Below are 21,880 nucleotides of genomic sequence, written 5' to 3'. Positions count from 1 at the left end.
GTTGGAAAGAAAAAAATGCAACAGTAGGTCAAAAGTCCTTTTAAGAAGTTATGAGAATAGTGCAGATAAAGTTTTTAGCATATGCCTGGCACAATAGATGCTAAATTTATCAGTAGTTTTGCTGGTAAGGTTCAAGTCTTTTATTCAAGACTTCCTCTCCACCAGACTTTGCTTACATGAACATCAACAGTATTTGCCTTTGTGACTTTCCTTTTCTACATTTTCTTAGTTGCTAACCTGGTTATATTTGTATAGCCCTTTTCAAAACAGGATACAATACTCCGATAATGTTTCTGATTAGCAAATGATAACCACTTTCCAGTCCTGCCTCTCAGATTTTTCCCAGAGTCCACCTTGATTAGCATCTATGGGTTCTGTAATCTCTTGAGTCTCTATTTATAGAAAATTTTGAGTTAACAATTACTCATGATAAATCACTTTGTGCAGATTTATGCAAGTTGACTCTTAACAGGCCAATCTAATGTCTATGGTAGTAAGGTATACGTTCTCATCATGCCCACAGACTAACAACATTGTTTAAATGCCTTCAGAGAGCTAATGCCGGTGGTAGAACCTTTAGACTCATCTATAGAAATCAAGACCCAAAAGAAAATATCCTGCAAAGATATTGCTTAAAGCAGCAAGCTTCAATCTGATAAGATTGCTATTGCTAAATCAGGATTGAACAGGGGCAGAAAAGTGGATAATTAATGTATATAGGGCCCATTCTGGGATGCACCAAGCAGATGTGATGTTCTATCTATAATCTAATTGGTAGCATCACAAAGGCAGAAAGGATAAGATACAGAAAGTTCACATGAGATCTTGAATAAAAACCTAGGAGGTACTAAAAGTCATCAAAAAAATCAGAGTGAAACAGGAGTAACAGTAATTTGGACCCAGAGGACATGTACAATTTTCAGGACAGTAGCAGGGGCCCTAATCAATCTGCCTTATAATGAAGCAATGTTAAAAGGAGTGTGCCCATCAGTTCATGTTCCCCAACCTCTTAAATGTGCCACTCAGCCTTTGCAATGGAGAGGATTAATGAATGATCATAAAACATACTTTCAGTTGTGGTGTGTGATATTTGATAATCAAGGATATGCAGAAGTTCATGGACAAAGTCAGGTATCTCGAGACATTCCTATACTCTAACATACTCCAGGAGACAACAGTTCAAGCTTTCAAAATTCCTTCCAGAAAAAAGAAAAAAAAAATCCAGTGCATTTTATCACATTTATAAAACTAGGCTCCATTCTTGTACACAAGAAAATACATATGAGGTGGCCACAACTAACATGAATCAAATCAGTCTGAGACTAATGCATAGACTCATGCCAAGACATGACAAGGTAAGGAGGCAGAATTTGGATTCAGAGGTTTTGTAACACGACTCTTTGTAGGCTGAAGGGAAGTTTGAAGAAAAAGTTCCAGGTAAGGCCAGTGCAGTGGCTCATGCCTGTAATCTCAGCACTTTGGGAGCCTGAGGCTGAGGCAGGTGAATCACTTGAGTCCAGGAGTTCAAGACCAGCCTGGGCAACATAGTGAAACCCTGTCTCAACGACAACAACAAAAAATTAACCAGGCATGGTGGCACATGCCTATAGTTCCAGCTACCCAGGAGGCTGAGGTGGGAGGATCACCTGAGCCAAGGAGGTCAAGGCTGCAGTAAGATGTGATTGCACCATTGCACTCCAGCCTGGGTGACAGAGCAGGACCCTGTCTCAAAAACAAAAACAAAAACAAAACAAAAGTGCCAGGTAAAAGAGAATGGCTTTGATTCAAATTCTGTCTATTCAAACCCAAATATTAAAGCATTTAAAAGGGAAAAGAAGTCTTTTTGTTTGTTTGTTTGTTTTGATATGGAATCTCGCTCTGTCGCCCAGGCTGGAGTGCAGTGGTGTGATCTCGGCTCACTACAACCTCTGTCTCCTGGTTGCAAGCAATTCTCCTACCTCAGCATCCCCGGTAGCCGGTATTACAGGCGGCCGCCACAACACCCAGCTAATTTTTGCATTTTTAGTAGAGATGGGGTTTCACCACGTTGGCCAGGCTGGTCTTGAACTCCTGACCTCAGGTGATCCGCCCACCTCGGCCTCCCAAAGTGCTGGGATTACAGGCGTGAGCCACCGCGCCTGGCCAAAGAAGTGTTTAGGTATTCAGAAAAGATACCAACAGCAACAACAAAAACCAGAATGTCCATCACCTAATTAATCTACCTAACAGCCAAATAATTAATTCCTTTCATATGTTAAGAAGTGTCAGAAAGAAAATTAACTCTTTCTATACCTACTCCTTTTACAAAAATCTTTGTTTCCTTTTTAAATTTTTCATAAAAATATGAATAAGAATCTCTGTGTTATTTTTCTCTACATAAGATGAAGAGAGCCGCTGGGTGCGGTGGCTCATGCCTGTAATCCCAGCACTTTGGGAGGCCAAGGCAGGTGGATCACTTGAGGCCAGGAGTTCAAGACCAGCCTGGCCAACATGGTGAAACCCCATCTCTACTAAAATTACAAAGAAAAAAAAAAAATTAGCCGGGCGCAGTGGTGGATGCCTGTAGTCCCAGCTACTTGGGAGGCTGAGGCAGGAGAAGCGCTTGAACCCAGGAGGCAGAGGTTGCAGTGAGCTGAGATCACACCACTGCACTCCAGCCTGGGCGACAGAGCAAGACTCCACCTCAGGAAAAAAAAAAAAAAATGATACAGAGAGCAGAAGGAAAGATGGAAGAGGGCTCAATGGATCAGAAGGTATTGTACTCTAACTTTGTACTGTATCTAGAAACTATTTACCAGGTTGACTTAAGGATAAAGTACTAATACAGATGATTAAGCACTACATTTTTTTCTAGAATAAATTTGCTGTAACTTTTAATGATATCACACTTAATGGTTCTCTGACAAAAACTCCATGGAAAGTAATTTAACTTCTCTGTGACCTAGTTTCCTCATTAGCAAAAAATGTTACTAAGATAGTGATAGGTGAAAAAATGTATTTCCCTAGGATACATCTTGTTAATAAATTACCTTAACAAATCTAACAAACTCTCAGAAAAGAGAAAAATATCCATCACTTTTATTAATATGTGACACTGTGAAATTTAAGGCACAGAGATATCAGTTGCTTTGGTCTGATGTTGCCTTAACCATGGGCAAGAAGGAGAATAAGAACCATGGAAGGGGGGAGTGGGAGAGATCTCTCCTTGCACAAAGTTGCTCAAAAGTCGCAAAATACCAAATTACCACTGAAGTCACACATCAACTATCCCAGAGCTGTTGTCAACATACTCAAGATTTACCTTCTCTTTAAAAAGTGTATCACAGAAAATATATTATATGCTTATATATGCTGTTTGTTTTGTTTCATAAAATAGATCCAGGACTTTCTGCTAGATCATGCCACTGCACTCCAGCCTGGGAGTGATATATATATATACACACACACACACACACACACACACACACATATATATATACACATATATATACACATATATACATACATACACACACATATATACACACATATATACATATATACACATATATATACATATATACACACGCATATACATATATACACACACATATATACACATATATACATATATACACATATATGCATATACATACACATATATATACACACATATATACATATATACACATATACACACATATATATACATACATATACACATATATTACATGTATAACAATATACATTACATATGATGCACATTTATGTAGACTACACTATGCGGAGAATTTCAGGGATGGCAACTGCTGTTTTAACCACAGCTGTTGGAGTCTCACTCAGAAAGCAAATCTGAAAAAGTTGATGTGTTTGTTTGATCCAAAAAATGATCTAAAATGCCATTTATATCTAAATAAATGTCCAATTGAAGTTCAGAGTGTGTGATCTGTCAACATGCACTTCTTGAAGTGCTAAGGAGACTCAGATAACAAAAATTTGCTGCAAATTCCCTGGCCTCTCATATTGTTGGAGAGAGAGATAGGAACAAAGTGAGGATATTGAATAGTTGTCAATGCAACAACAGAGTTATGGACAAGAGGGAAGCCATGCTGAACGCTGGCTGGGACCAGGGTAATGGCTCTGCTGGACTGTGGGAGATAAATAGGAAACATCTATGTAGATTCAAGACAAGAGGGGTTCCTTTCAGGGAGAGAAAACCGCAGCATAACACATCTGGCGAAATGTGAAGGAAACCAAAATATTTCACCCCAAAACATACTTCTTTGACATATTTCAAGATGGCTATTCAGAAGGGCTAGAAATATAAGAACAGCCGAAAAGCTGTCTTCTGTAGGGGAGATTTACATCTGCAGAGAAAATTGGCAGGGATGCATCCATGCTTTTTCTCTGAGCCTCTCCCTTGTGCAGAGTTAGGAAACATGACCTGAGAGTCTGACACCTTATAAGTCTAAAGAAACATTTACCATCTATTCTCTCTGAGGGCTGCTACCTGTGAGGTTTCATCTACATAAGAAGACCACCCTTGCTAGCCAGGCCTGCTCTTCTTGCCCTCTCATAACCTGTTTTGCTGTAATCAAAGTTTTCATTCTTTCTGTAACCTCAAGATGGTATGAAAGTGTCAACCAGGCTAGGCGCAGTGGCTCACTCCTGTAATGCCAGCACTTTGGGAGGCCGAGGCGGGTGGAGCATGAGGTCAGGAGTTCCAGACCAGCCTGGCCAACATAGCAAAACCCTGTCTCTACTAAAAATACAAAAAATTAGCTGGACGTGGTGATGGGTGCCTGTAATCCCAGCTACTCAGGAGGCTGAGGCAGGAGAATTGCTTGAACCTGGGAGGTGGAGGCTGCAGTGAGCCGAGATCGTGCCATTGCACTCCAGCCCGGGCAACAGTGTGAGACTCCATCTCAAAAAAAAATAAAAGAAAAAAAAGAAAAGACAGTGTAGGCCGGGCGCGGTGGCTCACGCCTGTAATCCCAGCACTTTGGGAGGCCGAGGCGGGAGGATCACGAGGACAGGAGATCGAGACCATCCTGGCTAACACGGTGAAACCCCACCTCTACTAAAAATACAAAAAATTAGCTGGGCGTGGTGGCGGGCGCCTGTAGTCCCAGCTACTGGGGAGGCTGAGGCAGGAGAATGGCGTGAACCCGGGAGGTGGAGCTTGCAGTGAGCCCAGATCGCGCCACTGCACTCCAGCCTGGGTGACAGCGAGACTCCGTCTCAAAAAAAAAAAAAAAAAAAAAAAAAAAAAAAGACAGTGTCAACCAGTACAGGCACAGTGGTTCATGCCTGTAATCCCAGCACATTGGGAGACCAAGGCAGGAAGACTGCTTGAGCCCAGGAGTTTGAGACCAGCATGGGCAACCTAGTGAGGCCCTGTCTCTACAAATTATTTATTTATATATATATATATATATATACACACACACACACACACACACACACACACACACACACACATATATTTAGTCAGAGTCTCACTCTGTTGCCCAGACTGGAGTTCAGTGGCGCAATCTCAGCTCACTGGAACCTTCGCCTTCTGGGTTCAAGTGATCCTCCCACCTCAGCCTCCCAAATACCTGGGGACCACAGGCACATGCCGCCATGCCCAGCTACCTTTTTTGTATTTTTAGTAGTAACGGGGTTTCACTATGTTGGCCAGGCTGGTCTCGAACTCCCAACCTCAAGTGATCTGCCCACCTCGGCCTCCCAAAGTGCTGGGATTATAGCTGTAAGCCACCGTTCCTGGCCCAAATAATAATTTTTTAAAAACTATTTGGGTGTAGTCATGTGAGCCTGTGGTGCCAGCTACTCAGGAGGCTGAGGTAGGAGGTTCACCTGAGTCCAGAAGGTCAAGACCGCAGGGAGCCAAGATAGCACCACTGCACTCCAGCCGAGGTAACAGAGGGAGACCCTATCTAAAAAAAAAAAAAAGAAAAAGAAAAAGAAAAAGAAAAAGAAAAAGAAAAAAAAAAGGTCAACCATCTGGCCATTTCTTTGAGTTCTTATATTTTGTTAAGACTCCAGTGCATGTTAATAAACGTGTATGCCTCTTCTCCTATTAATCTGTCTTTTGTCAGTTGATTTTTAAGCAAACCTTTAAAGGGTGAAGGGGGAGTTTTCTCTTGGCTAATTGCAAAGGGTTCAAAGTGTTCATAAGTTGAGGAAGAGTGATATAAGTAAGGAGAATTATATTGAAGACTTTTATAATTCAAGTGATTTCTCACCTGGAACCTGACCTGTAGAGGAGGAGGGAAAGAATGTACTGAAGAATAGTAAGTGAGGGAAAATCCTAGGAGCAGGCTTTTTAATTTTAGGATACATCAAAAGATATTTCTGGAGATATTGTGCAGATTGGACCAGGATGGTAAGAAATAGGTGACAGGGAATCTAACTAAGACAAAACCATGACAGACTAATTATATTTCTGAATCATAATGGAAAGAATTTGGCATAAAACTGAGTGTGGAAACAGAACACACTGGAAGATTCTTTAAGAACTTAGGTCAACAGCAATGTGTCAGCCTGAGATAGAATACAGCACAAACGCAGGTGAGAGTTTGGAGCAGGACACCATGGAAGAGGATGCCACCATTCAAAGAATGAGGTTTCAGCTGTAGCTTGGTCTTTGGCACCTGTTGAGAATCACATGAAAGCTACAAACCCTTTTCTCAGAAAAATGTAGGTACCCACACCATATATGTTAGCATATGATTTTAGGGCATTCACAGTTCACCTTTGAAGCCTCTTGTTTTAAGAACCTCCTCACACAGAGTAAGTAAAGAAGAATACTAAAGTTGAAACCCTGAGGGACATTGTCACCAAAAGGGTTAGCAAAAAAAGGACAACTCAGCCTAAGAAATTGAGGACGAAGAAATGACACCATAGATTGAAGACAGCTGCCGATTTTCAGAAGTAGGAAAGACGCAGCAATAACAAATGTTAGTACGAGGCTAAGTGAAGTGAGAAGTAAACTTTGGCCACTGGTGTGTTTTGGTCTAGAGATTTGCTGGTCCAGAAGCCAGACTGTTGTAATAAGAGACATGAAGAAGAAAAATCAGAATTTGTGTAGGCACACTTTGAAGAAACTAGCAACTAGGAAGTTTGAATGAGTAACAGGTAAGATAACAGATTTTTTACTTTTTGTTTCTGGATAGGGTTGAGCTAAAATGTGAGCCTGCTTGTTGGCCAAAGGGAAATAGCAGAAGAGTAAGAAAGATTGAGATAAAGTAGAAAAAAATTATGCAGGAAAGAAAAGAAAAGAAAAGAAAAATTATCGCAAAAAGAGAAATTATTGGAAAAATTAATGCATAGAAACATTAAAGAAAATTTATCTTAATCATGGCAATTTAATGGAGGAGATGTGACACTTTCTATGAGACGGAACAGAAAGAAAACACCTTTCAGCTGCAGATAATGGCAGATATGGAAGAAAGGAGAAGATAGAGGAGATTGTACTAGAGGATATTTATCTTCTCTGTAAATTACAAGGCAAGGTCACAAGTGCTGGGAAGGGATGTTACGTGCTTAATGGTGGAGGTGGGAAAGGCAGGCATATGTTACAGATATTAGCACAAGTATCCTTTTTCACCACGATGTGTCCAATACCTAGCACAATGCATGGCACACAACGGAAAATCTCTAGATATACATTGAATGAACAACTGCAATTTGAGGAATTTAGGTGCATGGAAAAATGTAGAACAAGCTGATAGGTCAAATGGAATAAAAGTCAACCAGGGAGAAGTAAAAGGTGTTCCAGATATTTTTAAGAGGTTTAAGAAAAGGAAGCCCAGAAGTACTGTAATTTATGACCTAATGGAGAGCTCCAGAAGACCTGCAGTGATCCTAGGAAGAAAAGATCTACAGCCTCCTCGGGAGCTATTCAACCTTGCAGTCCTCGTACATCCTTAGAAAACAGGTATCCATTCAATGAATAAGTAATTACCGACAGTTGGCAGATAAGGCATGTAAGTTTCTTATCCAACACCAAATACTCTTAGCAGAGATGGACAGTGTAGAAAAATTAGTTAATTACACTGTCAGCTAGTCACCTGGACTCTGTGGGTCCCACAAAAGTAAAAGGAATGACAGGTAGGACTGACCCACAGCTCCGCAGTGGGTCAGTCTAGATAAACGAGGGGCCTCACTCATCTGCGCTTTGTATCCTTTCTCATGTCTAAAACCATTCAAACTGAAAAACAAAAATCCCTCTCAAAATCCAAAATAACAGTCACTGAACAATGGAGAATGGAAGGCATATTATTAAATCTCTCCCACTGAAGGGCTGTTGAACTAGAGTCCCAGTGACTTGGGCTACACGATGTGTTACAGATGCTGTGTCCAGGTGTCTTTTGAATTCACATTATATCTAATAAATCACTGTATGTTCACTTGTCCTATTAAAACTGTATTCTACCTTACCAGGTCTGCATAATTTGTAGAAAATTGATTGCTACAGTTCTCACTAGAAGCTCTAATTGCATTCCTGGTATAACTTAAAATGATAACCTTATCTTAATTAGTAGCATGATGCAGAAATGCTTTGAAAGCCTCTGAGAACTAACCTGCATTTTTAAACACAAGCCCGGGGGCTTAGAAAAAAAAGATTCCTGTTGAATATTGCTGAATACATAAGCCAATGTTAATTTATCAAAACTACAAAAGAAAATTATCACACAGCAAGACAGACTAAACAATGCAGCTCACACCTCCTCTGATCAAGCAGTTTGCAACTCTCATTGTAGAATCACACAAGATGTCATTCGAATGCTTAGTCAGACCTCTGCTGACTGTTGACACCCACAGAAGAGTCTTTCTCTGGTTTTTCTAATGACACTATTGATAATCAGTAGAGCACGACAATGGTGGAATGAGTAGACAAACAGATTGGAGGGTAGGTATTGTCTTCATATGGGATTAATTACCATACAGATCCCCAGTAATAATCCCATAGGCTCCCATACCAGTCTTCTTCCGCAGTCAATCCTAGTTCATTTAATCCCAGCCCTCCTCATCCATCGCAAGCTTTCTAACACCGCCTTCTGGTCTGCCCATGTTTAGAATGTCTGAGTGACGCTCTAGAAGATAAACGTTCCCTGTGGGAGAGGTTACATTCTGTGTACATGTTTTCCGTATTATCACTCTGGTGAAAAGATGTCCAATGGCTCACCGATGATAACCATTACCTAAAAGAGCACCTCAGAACATCTGAACATTAACATTTCAAACAATCACCTTAAACTATACTATGGCAAAATAAAAGACTTTGCAAGTAAGTCATTATTGTAAATACCCAAAGTAGATGTCACAAGTTTCTCAATATAAGGCTTGTAAATTGAGGCATTTTCTAATAACCACTATGCAGCTGGGCATATCTCCTCAAATTTCCACCAAAAAAATAAATATTGGGTAGACTTTTGCTTATCATCCAGAATTATTAACTACAGCTACCCCCAGAAATGTGGAATAGATGCTATTTCAAGAGGAATACTCTTTCAAGCTTGGCTTCTGAGGTCTGTGGTTTCTCCCTATAAGCCGGAACCACTTGGGAAATAACTACCTTCCTATAAAGCAATTTAGCATTCCCTTCTTTGAAAATGTAAATGGTTCAAAAATTTTAAAAGTATCTTCTCCTTACTAGAAGTTAACAATTTTGTCTAGATGTCAGTGGTTAGCACTAACAGAGGATATTATAGTATGATATTATCATTAGAACTGAATAACTAGTGGAAAGCAATATGATATAAACACCTAACATTTTATTATAGTTCCATCTAGCTTAGTTTGTAAGCATAGAATATAGTAAAATTAAATAGGAGAAAATAGGTACATAATAATATTAATGTATGCCAGTATTAATGTGCTTTTAAAAAACAATTTTTTTAATTATCAAGGTTTTTTCAATAAGAGCATTAAAGCACTATTTTAAAATACCCGCTACATGCAAGAAGCTATGCATTGTAATTGATGTGAAAGTAAACTGCTCTTACAAGATAGCAAAGCATCGATTTAATTTATGTCAAGCTTGTCTGCAATAAGATATGTCATTTCAGAGAAGTATTAGTATGTGTAGTGTATATGGGCATATATTTACATAAGCAAATTATCCATACCTTGAAAGTCCCATAAATGTGTGTATTACTAGGCACATTTCTTCTTATTTAAAACTGTATCTGTGGACTTGAGTAAGGAGATTAAAGACTAAACATATATTAACACTGTGAAAATTCAGCCTGAAAAACTTCAGGATAAGAGATATTTTCATCAACAGATATTTCAAACTGAGTGACCCCAAATCTGTTTAAGACTGTTCTAAAGAAGGAAAGCCCTCATATAATTTAACTTGCTTTTCATTTCACTGGTCTGACAGCCACATACTGATAGCATCTTCAGGTTACAAATCCTGCCTTTTTACCATTGCAGTTATAGTCTCATTTACAACATTAGTGTGCTAAATAGGGACTGCATCAAAATCTTCAATTATTTTCAGACAGTCTATGCAACATTGCTGCTAATTCTAATGCCCAGGAAGCACAATCATCGTAACCTCTGCTATGATCCCAACGAGGATTCCTCAAGCTCCTTATAAATGCATTAATCGCCCCTATGAAAGTCACTGCTTGCTTTTAACGAAGATAATGTATGTTACTGGGATTATACCACTGCATGCAAAATCATTAAAGAAAGGGAGACCAGAATTTATGATTAAGCCTTTGGACAGCAGGGCACTATTTTAACCATAAAAATCACAATCTGCAGAGACAGTGGCCGAAGCAGAGGAACCATTAAAGACTTATAATTAGCATCAATCAAGGTGACACTACTGTTGGCATCTTTATTACTTTAAATACACTAATCAAATACTTCTGCATTGAGATGGAAAGATTGATAGGCAGCTAGACATAGAAAACATCTCTATGGAGAACAACTTTAAATTATCTGTTTGAAAGGTTAAAAAAAAAAAAAAAGTATTGGTATTAGTCAAGTAGGATCCCAACACACAACTCCAAAAGAAAAGTACTCAGAATGGACCTATGACGTTGTCAGGATCCTCAAGTGGATGCTTTAACACTAAGCATTTGCATGTCCCCTCTGGGAACCCACTGGACTTGCTTAATTTCGAAGAAAAAAAAAATAACTCAGGGGAACACAAGCTTCAGGCTACTCTGTCCTATAAATAAATAGCCAAGCACTCCTGCCCAACATTTATATATTTTCTAGCCTTCTCCTTACATGTGCACATGGAAATGAAAGATAAAAGGAGAGCTGAACTTACTACTATTTACATAATTACAATAGGGGCTGTCAATATTATCTAATTGCATCGCTGCTCAATTTCATACCACACAGACTCTGAAATATGCTGTTATTATTACTGCTCATATAAATATTTCAGTCTTAACGAACAAGAAGCCACTCAGCATCTCTGCCACCCCTTGAGCCCATATGGCATTATACCTTAATGACTAATTTTTAAAGGGCGCTCTTCTCCAAACACTTTCTGTGAACAGTTTCAGTGTTCACAAACTGAATTCTTGAGGTTAAGGGCACACACCATAAGGAAAGGATATGAAGTAGTTTTCCGATAACAAAGTCTGGCTGGAATCAATTCAGAATTATGGATAAAGATTTGGCAAGGCATCTCCCAAGGGTACAACTTCATCTTTGCCAAATGAAATTATAATTGCAAAGACTTTCATTATGAAGATGATGAGTCCCAACAATCGTTTTGGCTCCAAAGTTCAACTTTTACTTACAAGTTCCTTAACTGGCACCCCCGCCACTAGGTTTAAAAAATATATTACATTTCCTTTGAATTAATACCTGCCTCTTTAAAAAAAAAAATGGTTTGTTTGTGTCCATAAAAAACTGGGCAGAGTCAAAGGAAATTCTTCATTGCTTCCCCTCAGCAGCGAATAAAGGACTGAGGAAAGAGAATGAATGATAAAGATGAAACAATTGGAAGAAGCAAATTACTTAAGAGGAAATACATACAATTTACTGAAGGAGTACTAGCTAACTCAAATCCAGTTTCATTTTAAATTTTGTGGTCAAAGAAAGATTTTCCAATGTAACATGATAATCTTACAGAGCCAAAGACTAAGGAAAATGCTACAATTTGACTACTGAAAATCCTATTAGTTGGCTGGGCACGGTGGCTCACGCTTGTAATCCTAACACCTTGAGAAGCCAAGGCAGGAGGATCACTTGAACCGAGGAGTTTGAGACCAGCCTGAGCAACGTGGTGAGACTACAGCTCTACAAAAACTACAAAAATTAGCCAGGTACAGTGGCACACACCTGTGGTCCCAGCTACTCAAAAGGCTGAGGCAGGAGGATCACTTGAGCCCAGGAGGTTGAGACTGCACTGACCCTTATCACACCAACACCACTGCATTCCAGCCTATGTGTAGATCGAGAACTTGTCTCAAAAAAAGAAAAAGAAAAAAGGAAAATCCTACTAGTTTAAGCCAATATTTAACAAATCACTCCAAGACATTATGCTGCAATTTTTAAAAGGTTCCAGTATTCTCAACTTCTCTCAAATGATGATAGCAAACACTTCTGCTTCTTAAAAGGATAGCAGTCCCTTATATATGAATAGGGTTTTACATTTTACCAAGTAATTTTATACATATTCACTTTTGCATCAACCTTGTGAAGCAGATAAGATTATTTCCATTTTACAGATGAAGTTATAGACTAAGAGAAGGTAACAGGCCTCTCTCTCAATGAGCACCCAGATGGTAGACGTATCTATTGACTCAACGCCTTCTCCACTATACCATGCTGACCCTGAGTTGCTTTGAAATATTCCATAGCCTTGTTAACTGAGGAGAGAAATCATGAATTACAGATCCTGATTACCTGTAGTAAAGACAAATATTAAAGAGTACTCTTACCAAGAGAAAGCTCTTCATAAAGAACCAGTAAGATGCATGTTAAGCATGAGAGAATCCTAGTCAGTTTGCTTTGTTTAGAGATGGGTCATCTTGCTATTCCAGTCCAAGAGTTTGCTTTTCACTGTTGAATCATTTGATTCTCACTGACGCAAAAGGAATGGGAAAGGCTGTGCAATACTGTATGAGGCTGACCTTACCACTTACGGAAAAGCTGCCAGCCAGACACAAAGTGTTGGCTAATAATGAGTCAGAGATGGACTCAATAATATCAAAGACTTTTATGTTGAATCCTTAACAAAGGAGCTTGATGTAAAAACAAGGGTTTAAGACTGGGAAATGGCAAAAGAAAGGAACAGTCACTTCCCCATCAGAGGACACCCTTTTGCCAAAATTTGCTGAAATGTGTACACAATACTTTTAATACTTTTAAATAGACATGTGTTAGAGAATTCTTATCAGTAAGTGCTGCACGCTAGATCCAAATGAGGAAATAATTTGAAACCTGGCAAATTCTCTTTTAACATAGTAAATAGCTCAAATCTTATTGGTTTATATTTTCCAGTTACTATCATTTTCGTGTCAAAAAGAGGAGGAAAAAGATAATAGGAAAACCAAACGACAAAAATAATTGCATATAATTATATAACACTTGGAAAAAGAAAACCTTCATCTAACAGCAATGGCAGGAGTAGGCTTATTACAAGGACAACATTACCACCCTGGTCCACTGCATTCTCTTTTGCAATGTTTCAATGACTCTCTTATCTTGTTGCTCCAGCAATAATAACTGAAGTTATGTAACTACAGTCCTGAGCTGACTACAAAATACAATGGGTGTGAAGTAATTGAGGTTTCTCAATTTTTAATACAGGTAGGGATATTTTTCATTATATTTATATGTTTCACAATGGAGTCATTATCATAGGAAAAATGAGCTGTGGATATTAAGGACATGGAGTTAATTAACAAATAATATGGAAAACTTTGATAAATCAAAGGAGCTTCTTATCAGTAGAAATGTTCTCCCAATCTAGCAATAAATATTCCAACAAGTCATTTTAAATTACATACATGCTGTGTTGTCATTTTTCTAAGGTGATGGATAAGGAGATTTAATTTCTTTAACTTGGGCATGTTTTCATTTGTTGGAATTCTATCAGATAACGACCAATATAAAGTGTGTAACAAAGAGGCTAGCCATTACAGGCACACAAAAGCATGGGTTTGCCCATCTCATGCCCTGTCCTCAATGGTGATCAGTGGAGAGGGGATGGAAAATTTCTGCTTGCATATGAAGACTCTAAAAATATTAATATAAAAAGAATTCCAAACAAATGTAAGGTGTAAATTTACAGCACTCTGATGGTTTGTTTGGTCTGACTTTGAAAATAAAAGTAAAAGGGCCAACATGCTAACATCCTAAAAAAAAAAGTCATTTAAATAGTAAGAATAACTTATGAGATAATGGAGGTACTAAATGGCCCACTGAACCCTGAAGGAAAATTAAAATTCCTAAGTGAAGAGGAAAAAACTGCTTTGATGCATACCTCTCAGAGAAACACAAAAACTGGGTTTATCCATAAACCTGGCTGGTCACAGAACACATTAGCAATGAGAAATGCCATTCAAGAAAACCCTATAGATCTATTTCTCTACTCATGACCAATAGCTCCACAGATTCAACTAGAATGAAGATCATGAATAAAAAGCTTACAATAAATGGTAGCATGCAGTAGGCAAACATATACAAAGGAGGTAATCCCTGAGCACCAAATTACAGCCTCTGTCCACAAATTATAACAGCACCCTTCTACTATCTAAGATCTGGGTTACGGACATGTAATGCACACTCACTCTCCTAAAATGTAGCCACAGAAGCATGGCAAAGACATACACCTCTTAGGGCTCAAGGTCAAGAGCACAGGACATAAATTCACTAATGCTAAAAATGAATGGAAAGCCAAAGAGAAGAGATGGTCTCTATTACTTTGTATTGAAGCCCATAAGTGGTTTGCAATTGTCGTACAAAATACGTTTCCTCACTATCCTTTGTATTCTGGTGTGGGGGTTTTATTTATTTATTTATTTATTGGCCATTATATGGCCCGATCTACTATACGTCGAATAAAAATGGATCATTTCTAATTTAATAGTGACACAAAACCTTTGGAACTCATACACTATTGACATTGCATACAATATTGACCCTGAATTTATAAAATATTGACTCATTTTTGTTTCTCTGCACTTTTCTCTAGGATGTGAAATGATCAGAATGAGTTTGCCATAGGCTATTGTTTTTGTTTTATTTTGGTTGGTCTTGATGCTCTCAACTAACCTATCACCTGGACAGACTTCTGGTAAGATTCTGACTAACCAAACCAAATTGAAAGAATCAGTTGCATGCTAGATAACAAGAGACTATTTTCATTTTAAATACATCCTGATAAAGCTTTATGGCACTACTTCTTTAAATTTTAAAATAAATGTGTAAGAACTACCAAAACATCCATACCCATACTGTTGCAAACAAGGTACACATGTGGTTTCCAGAGGGAAACAAAATGAGACTCAAGGCAGTAGCATTTGTAGTGGTTCCTAAGCATGGAGAGAGGACCTGAGCTGTAAGCCGTTCTCTCTTCTCTCTCTCTCTCTTCAGCTATCTGCTCCTGGACAAATCTTCAACTTCCTGAAACATAAGCATAATAATATTGACATTACCTCATTGTGTTACGGTAAGGAACAGATGAGAGGGCGTATGGGAAAGCGTTCTGTATACCATAAAATGCTCCAAATACATACATTACAAATGGGAACACTATACATCCACAAGTTAAAAAGAGAGAAAGACACACTGGTGTGGCTGATTGGAAATGTATTCATTATAATACAGATGTGCAAAAAATAATTTTTTAAAAAATGGTGTTTCCCGTCACATAACTAACTTCATGTTGCTCACAAGTCTCCATTCTCCCTTGGTGATAAAAATGCAAAACAAAACAAACATTTTAAGCTGGTTCATTTAATATCACTCGGGTTCTCTGGAAAATGGTCAATTTGGGGCAGATTTTCAGTCTTTCGGGTTGTTTTCTCTCTTCCCCCTCCTTCTGGCATGCTAGCACCTCCTCAGAGGAAGCGTATGTAACGCTGTGGTGGCAAAAGAACATCTGCTCTCATCACTGCCCTTCTTGGGTGGGCTGCTGAAGTCTGAGTAAGGCACAGCTAATCTTGCCTGGTCGCTGGTGGATGTTGGCTTCTAACTTCACTGTAACTGTTTCTGAAGTGTCTGGGATGGTCCTCTGGTCATAGGCACCAAACAATGCCTGCTTGTGGCCATCTCCCCCGACTGACTAGACTCCTCATCTCAGCTCTATCTGATGCTCAGACTCAGCTGTGACTCCAGCTTGGAGAGGGGCACCCTGTAATCTCTGCCACCGATTTCCTTGCTTAGAGCTACCAGGACCCTGCAAGGTGTGCTGATGCCTACTTATTAGGTCACTTCATCATCTGTCTCTCCAGAACATCTGGCTCAATTTTAAGATATGAGGTACCTGGAAAAGACGTGAGTAGAATGGCTTTTTCTTCAACAGGCCACTTTTCAACTCTACTACCTGTGCCAAGATGGTTTGGAGATCCTCAAAAGGCACTCCCCCAGGGTTCCAGAGGATCAGGAAGACACGGCCTCCTCTGCCTATCCCTCCTCAACCTTCCGAAGTGTTTTGTGTTGTTTTTAATCACCTTGTTCTTGATCCCCATCCTCAATCTCTCCTCAAGCATCACTTTGATCCACCAGAAGGATCTTGCTTTCCTATGTGGTTGCATCTCACTTTACATAAGATCCTGTCTCAGATCCTCAGGGTTTCTTCTTAATATTTAAATGTAAGCTTTAGAATTTTCAACAAATCCTGGTTTTTATAAGAACTTCTCTGATGGCTACCAGGGCACATTTGTTCTAGAATCTAGGCTGTCCCTGCCCTACTCCTAAAGCAACAGTGGCTCTCAATTCCCCATCCATGAGCATGGCACCTGCAGAGCAAGATTTACAGGGATTTATTTTTTTAAAGCATCATGAAATGTTTCAAAATTGTATCCTTACTATATTAGCTAGGCAGTTTAGGATTATGGGAGATTTTCAAGAGTTTCCTGAATAAAGAAAGATAACTGTGAAATAACACTTATATGGTATAGATATTATTAGCCCATTTTACAGATGAAGAAATGAAGGCTCGAGGAGGTGACGCCAAAATTTAAACTCAGGTATTGGTATTATTATTCCAGCATTCTTTTCATTACTAACATCATAGTTCCTTGACAGTATCAGTAAATACAAAAAAAGAGAAATATAAATATAAATTCCTGCCACTTACCTAAGCAAAAAAAATAATGATTTTGGTAAAGATAACAAAATAGAGAGACCTTGATGTTTCATTAAACTTCATTCATCATTTTCTTCATTCAACTATCCTTTATTGTGTGCTTCTGCCATAACAAACTGTGAAATTTAAAATCTGGAAATTTAAAATTTGTCCCTGCTCTTAATGAAAGCACAGTATGGGGGTGGGGGGAGGCAGACAAATGTAATTATAATACACCTAGGCAAGTTCAGTGCTGTATGATTTTTATTATCATAGGGCTTTCAGGGTTTCCAAATCAATTTTTTCCATGCTTCCAATGGTTACTAAGTTTACACAGTAACTCTACAAGTAGGAATTTCACTATACATGTTAGGATGTGAAGAATTACTTAGTTGAAAATATTTGTCTCAATAAATCTGCAAATTACCAAGGGAAAGATAGAAATACAGGGTATATAGTGACATGGAAGTGATGAGGGCCACCCACTCCAGCTACCTACACATGTATCACTGGTCATTTTCTTTTTCAACAATCTCAGTGCCCTAAAAACTGTACCTCTCTGGAGCAGCCACAGTTAGCCCCACTTGTTCCCACAGCAGTGTTAGAGAAATCATCTACACTTCACATCTGTACCCAGCAGTAATGACTCACTGACCTGAGCTAACCAGAAACAAAATGCAGGCTGGGCACAGTGGCTCACGCCTGTAATCTCAGCACTTTGGGAGGCCACGGCGGGCAGATCACTTGAGGTCAGGAGTTAGAGACCAGCCTGGCGAACGTGGTGAAACCTCTTCTCTACTAAAAATACAAAAATTATCCAGGCATGGTGGCAGGCGCCTGTAGTCCGCTGAGGCAAGAGAATCACTTGAACCCAGGAGGTGGAGGTTGCAGTGAGCTGAGATTGCACCACTGCACTCCAGACTGGGCGACCGAGTGAGAATCCATCTCAAAAAAAAAAAGAAAAAGAAATGCAAAGGCGTGTGTGTGTGTGTGTGTGTGTGTGTGTGTGTGTGTGTGTGTATACATGCACGCACCTGTGTCAGAGGTCTTTGGATATAAATATATATGCATATACTTACATATATAAATATACATATATATACATACATACATATATATACACACATATATATAAAGATGTATAACTTTACTCATAATCCTCATACATCTGTATTAGGTGAAAGATAAGATGTCCAAATAAATGATACTTCAACTGGTTTATTCTCTGCGTGTTTTAATCATTGAAATACATTCTCTATAGTGTGTGTCTCTTTTTCACTCAACACGTATATACACACACAGAGCATTAAAAATAAATTTGGTAAACTTCATTAAAATATTTTCCTCAAACATTTCCCAGATATTTCCCAGTGATCTGAGAAGAGTTACAGAGAGACTACCTCCAGAAGTAAGTTATGACTTTGAGATAGTATTTAGGTGCCTGGTTGTATGAAGGTTTTATGAAAATAATGGAAAAAAATTTGATAGTTAAAGAGTGACTGTAGTCTTCAAATACTAAGTGTGGTGAAAGGGAAAAGTAATATAAATGTGTTCAATTCTATTCCTCCAAATTCTGAAACTCAAACACCTGTCCTGAAACATTAATGTCTTTGACTTAAAAATGGGACTTAATAAGCTGCCACATGACTCAAACTAATAATTAAAAAGAAAGAAAATACAATTACTGTCTAAATAACAAATAGTCTAGAAGTATAGTATTAAACAAAATAAAAATTCACAGCCATTTGACCTATTTGGGGAGTGGGGAGCATTTACATATCCCACTATGGAATTATATGTATGCTAATTACATGCTAATGTAAACATGAAAAAATATTATATGGAAATTGCAAGTTGAAGAACCACCAAAAACATACAAAGGCAAAAAAATAGGTCTGCTTGAAAACAGTTTCTGCCATCTTGCTTATTCATGTGTAAACGTTCAATATGCTCAAGGCTTTGACATCTCTATTCATTTTGGGATTTGAATCAGCTATAAATATATAACCTCTAATTATACGATTTGTCAAAAATTCTGAAATTCTTTTACATATCAGGCTAACTTTATAAAAATATATATATATTCATGCTTCCCATTTTAAGTGATAACTTTCCGGGAAATTGAGAGCCCCCTAATAAAGAGTACATGTTTGTTAATTGGCCCATTTGCCTGACCATTCACACCTAGAACTGTATTCTTCCCAATACAGATAACATTTTTAATCTTCTTTTTTTTTTTGCGACTGTGTTCCCAAAAATGCTTGACAGGTGCATTCTATAAATCTCTCGTTTACGGAAGGCAAAGAGAAGCCTCACTTTCCCATTCATACGCTATTGTATAATCAGATCTCTGTAGGCAAAATCTCAGCAAAAATAAGACCCCTCAATGGGTTAAACAGCACAAGTGCCAAGCCTTTCCTCCAGATTTTTGTGCCCTCCAGCAATAAGCTGGCTGTTGCACCTGGCAAACATATGCAGAAAACTAGGCCAAATATGGTTGACAAATTTGGCCAGATTCTTTCCTGTGACCCACTGTGATAGTTAACCTAAAGTTCCCAATGTCAATTCAATTTCCAAAGGTAAACTTTTAATTTTTTCCTTAATACGTGTTAATAGTTGAGATACTGGTGTAAACAAAACCATCTCATGTTTGAAGTAAAAACTAATGCATTTTAAAAAATTAACAGATGTGCTACACTTGTATCAGTGGAGAGAGTGAATATTGAGAATAAGATGGATACTATGGAACTGGACCTGATGATATCATCTCAAGGTTTAGAAGCATAAGGAAAGGATGTGTCCAGTGCTTCTGCCAGGTGCAACGCCTTTTAGGTTGCCCACAGTAATTGGCCATCAAACTAAATCTCTAAAGTCAGCTGAAACTTCATGGAGGTAGTTGAAATTCCAGGGCTTCTGGAGGTTCTACTATTTGTCAAACACGGGATTAAATCATTTAAAATAGCCATATGCTTTAAAATATTGATAATAAACCTAAATAAATGTATCCTCTTTTCCCATACCTCTGACATTTTCAGGCATCCACCATTCTAGGCAATGGTGATAAAGACATGAACGTTTTCACAGTCCTTGCCTCCAAAGGTATCAGCTCCGAAAGTATTGACTACAACAGTAGAAAGCCTAACACCTGTGCTAACTAGAGTTTCAACCTTGTTCTTTAGGCTGTGTTTTTCAAGCCATTTTTTTTATTATGTCAAGTAATATGGAATGATTGAGTTATTGTATCTATTACATGTATCTATTACATTAGAGTGACAGTTTATTGCAGCATTACCAAAAAGCTGTATTCTGACAGAATGCATATCAACACACAGCAGCAAAGATGAAACAACTTTTTCCTACTCAAAAAAAATTTACACAAGAGGTATGTGAAATTCACATATGTATTTAAGTTTGGATAAAAACTTAGCTCACATAAGGAATATACTGAAATTGAGCAAATTATATATCACTTAAAATAATACTACAAGAAGCTAAAAAAAAGTAAGGGTGTTTGTACACTCAGAAAACTGCCACAAAACATACCCCAGATAAATCAACAAACCTCTTTATGCCTATTTTATAAACTATTACCAACTACGTTGTACTCTGTTTACTCTTCTTTCTTGTGAGGACAAACCTTCTCATCCTACTGGCTTTGTCACCCTGTCTCGTAAGCAAGCCCAAATCGCTTCTATCTTTTTTTTTTTTTTTTTTTTTTTGAGATGGGGTCTTGCTCTGTTGCCGAGGCTGGAGTGCAGTGGTATGATCTTGACTCACTGCAACCTCTGCCTCCCAGGTTCAAGCAATTCTCCTACCTCAGTCTCCCAAGTAGCTGGGACTACAGGCACATCACCACACCCAGCTAATTTTTGCATTTTTAGTAGAGATGGGGTTTCACCATGTTGGCCAGGCTAGTCTTGAACTCCTGACCTCAGGTGATCCACTCACCTCGGCCTCCCAAAGTGCTGGGATTACAGGAGTGAGCTACCACACCCGGCCCACTTTTATCTTTAAAAACCACTCCTCTTTGCATGTCACTCCATACCTGTGCTCCAACTCCTCGTCCTCTCCAAACTTTTGGTGAAAGTGGGCTATTTTTACTAACTCATCTTCATCACTCTATATTCATTTCTGAATCCAGTGAATTCTGGTTTGAATCTTCACAATTATAGTAAAACGGCTTACTGTTAAAAGTTAAACAAAATCTTCTACATTGCTAAATCCAATGGACACTTTTCATTTCTCACCTGTTTCAACAGCTCTGTTAAATTTGGTCTTGTCAATTGCATCCTCTTTCCTAAAACCACATGCTCTGTTGGCCACTTCTGTCCGTTCCAGGAGAGTCACTCTTCTGATTTGCCTCATTCCCTCCAAGTCCCCATTCTCTTGCCTCTGCAATACTGCATGGTGGTTATGGGGACTTTGGCACCAGACTATCTGGGTTCAAATCTGTTTTTCCATTTACCGGCTGTGAGACTTTGGGCAACCCATTTAATTCCCTGTTCTTAGTTTTCCATTTGCAACCTGGGGATCATCCTGGTATAGCCACTTGTCACTTGTCGGCCAGGTGATGGGGATGGGAGACGTTCTCTGTTGCAATGATTAACTGGGCAGACAGTG

At 38.7% G+C, this 21,880-nt stretch overlaps 1 long non-coding RNA gene across 1 annotated transcript in view; it reads right to left on the bottom strand.

The window, feature by feature from the left end:
* CASC15 (cancer susceptibility 15) overlaps positions 1–21,880 on the bottom strand; it is a 529,408-nt gene that overhangs the window by 69,480 nt on the left and 438,048 nt on the right. The window contains exon 9 of the long non-coding RNA NR_015410.2: positions 15,421–15,594. This is a non-coding gene — a long non-coding RNA (cancer susceptibility 15). The remainder of the gene's footprint in view (positions 1–15,420; positions 15,595–21,880) is intronic.

Source organism: Homo sapiens, chromosome 6 (assembly GCF_000001405.40).
Source record: "Homo sapiens chromosome 6, GRCh38.p14 Primary Assembly".
Classification (NCBI taxonomy): domain Eukaryota; kingdom Metazoa; phylum Chordata; class Mammalia; order Primates; family Hominidae; genus Homo; species Homo sapiens.
Note: the sequence above shows the minus strand (reverse complement) of the source record. Positions and strands in the feature narration are given on the sequence as shown.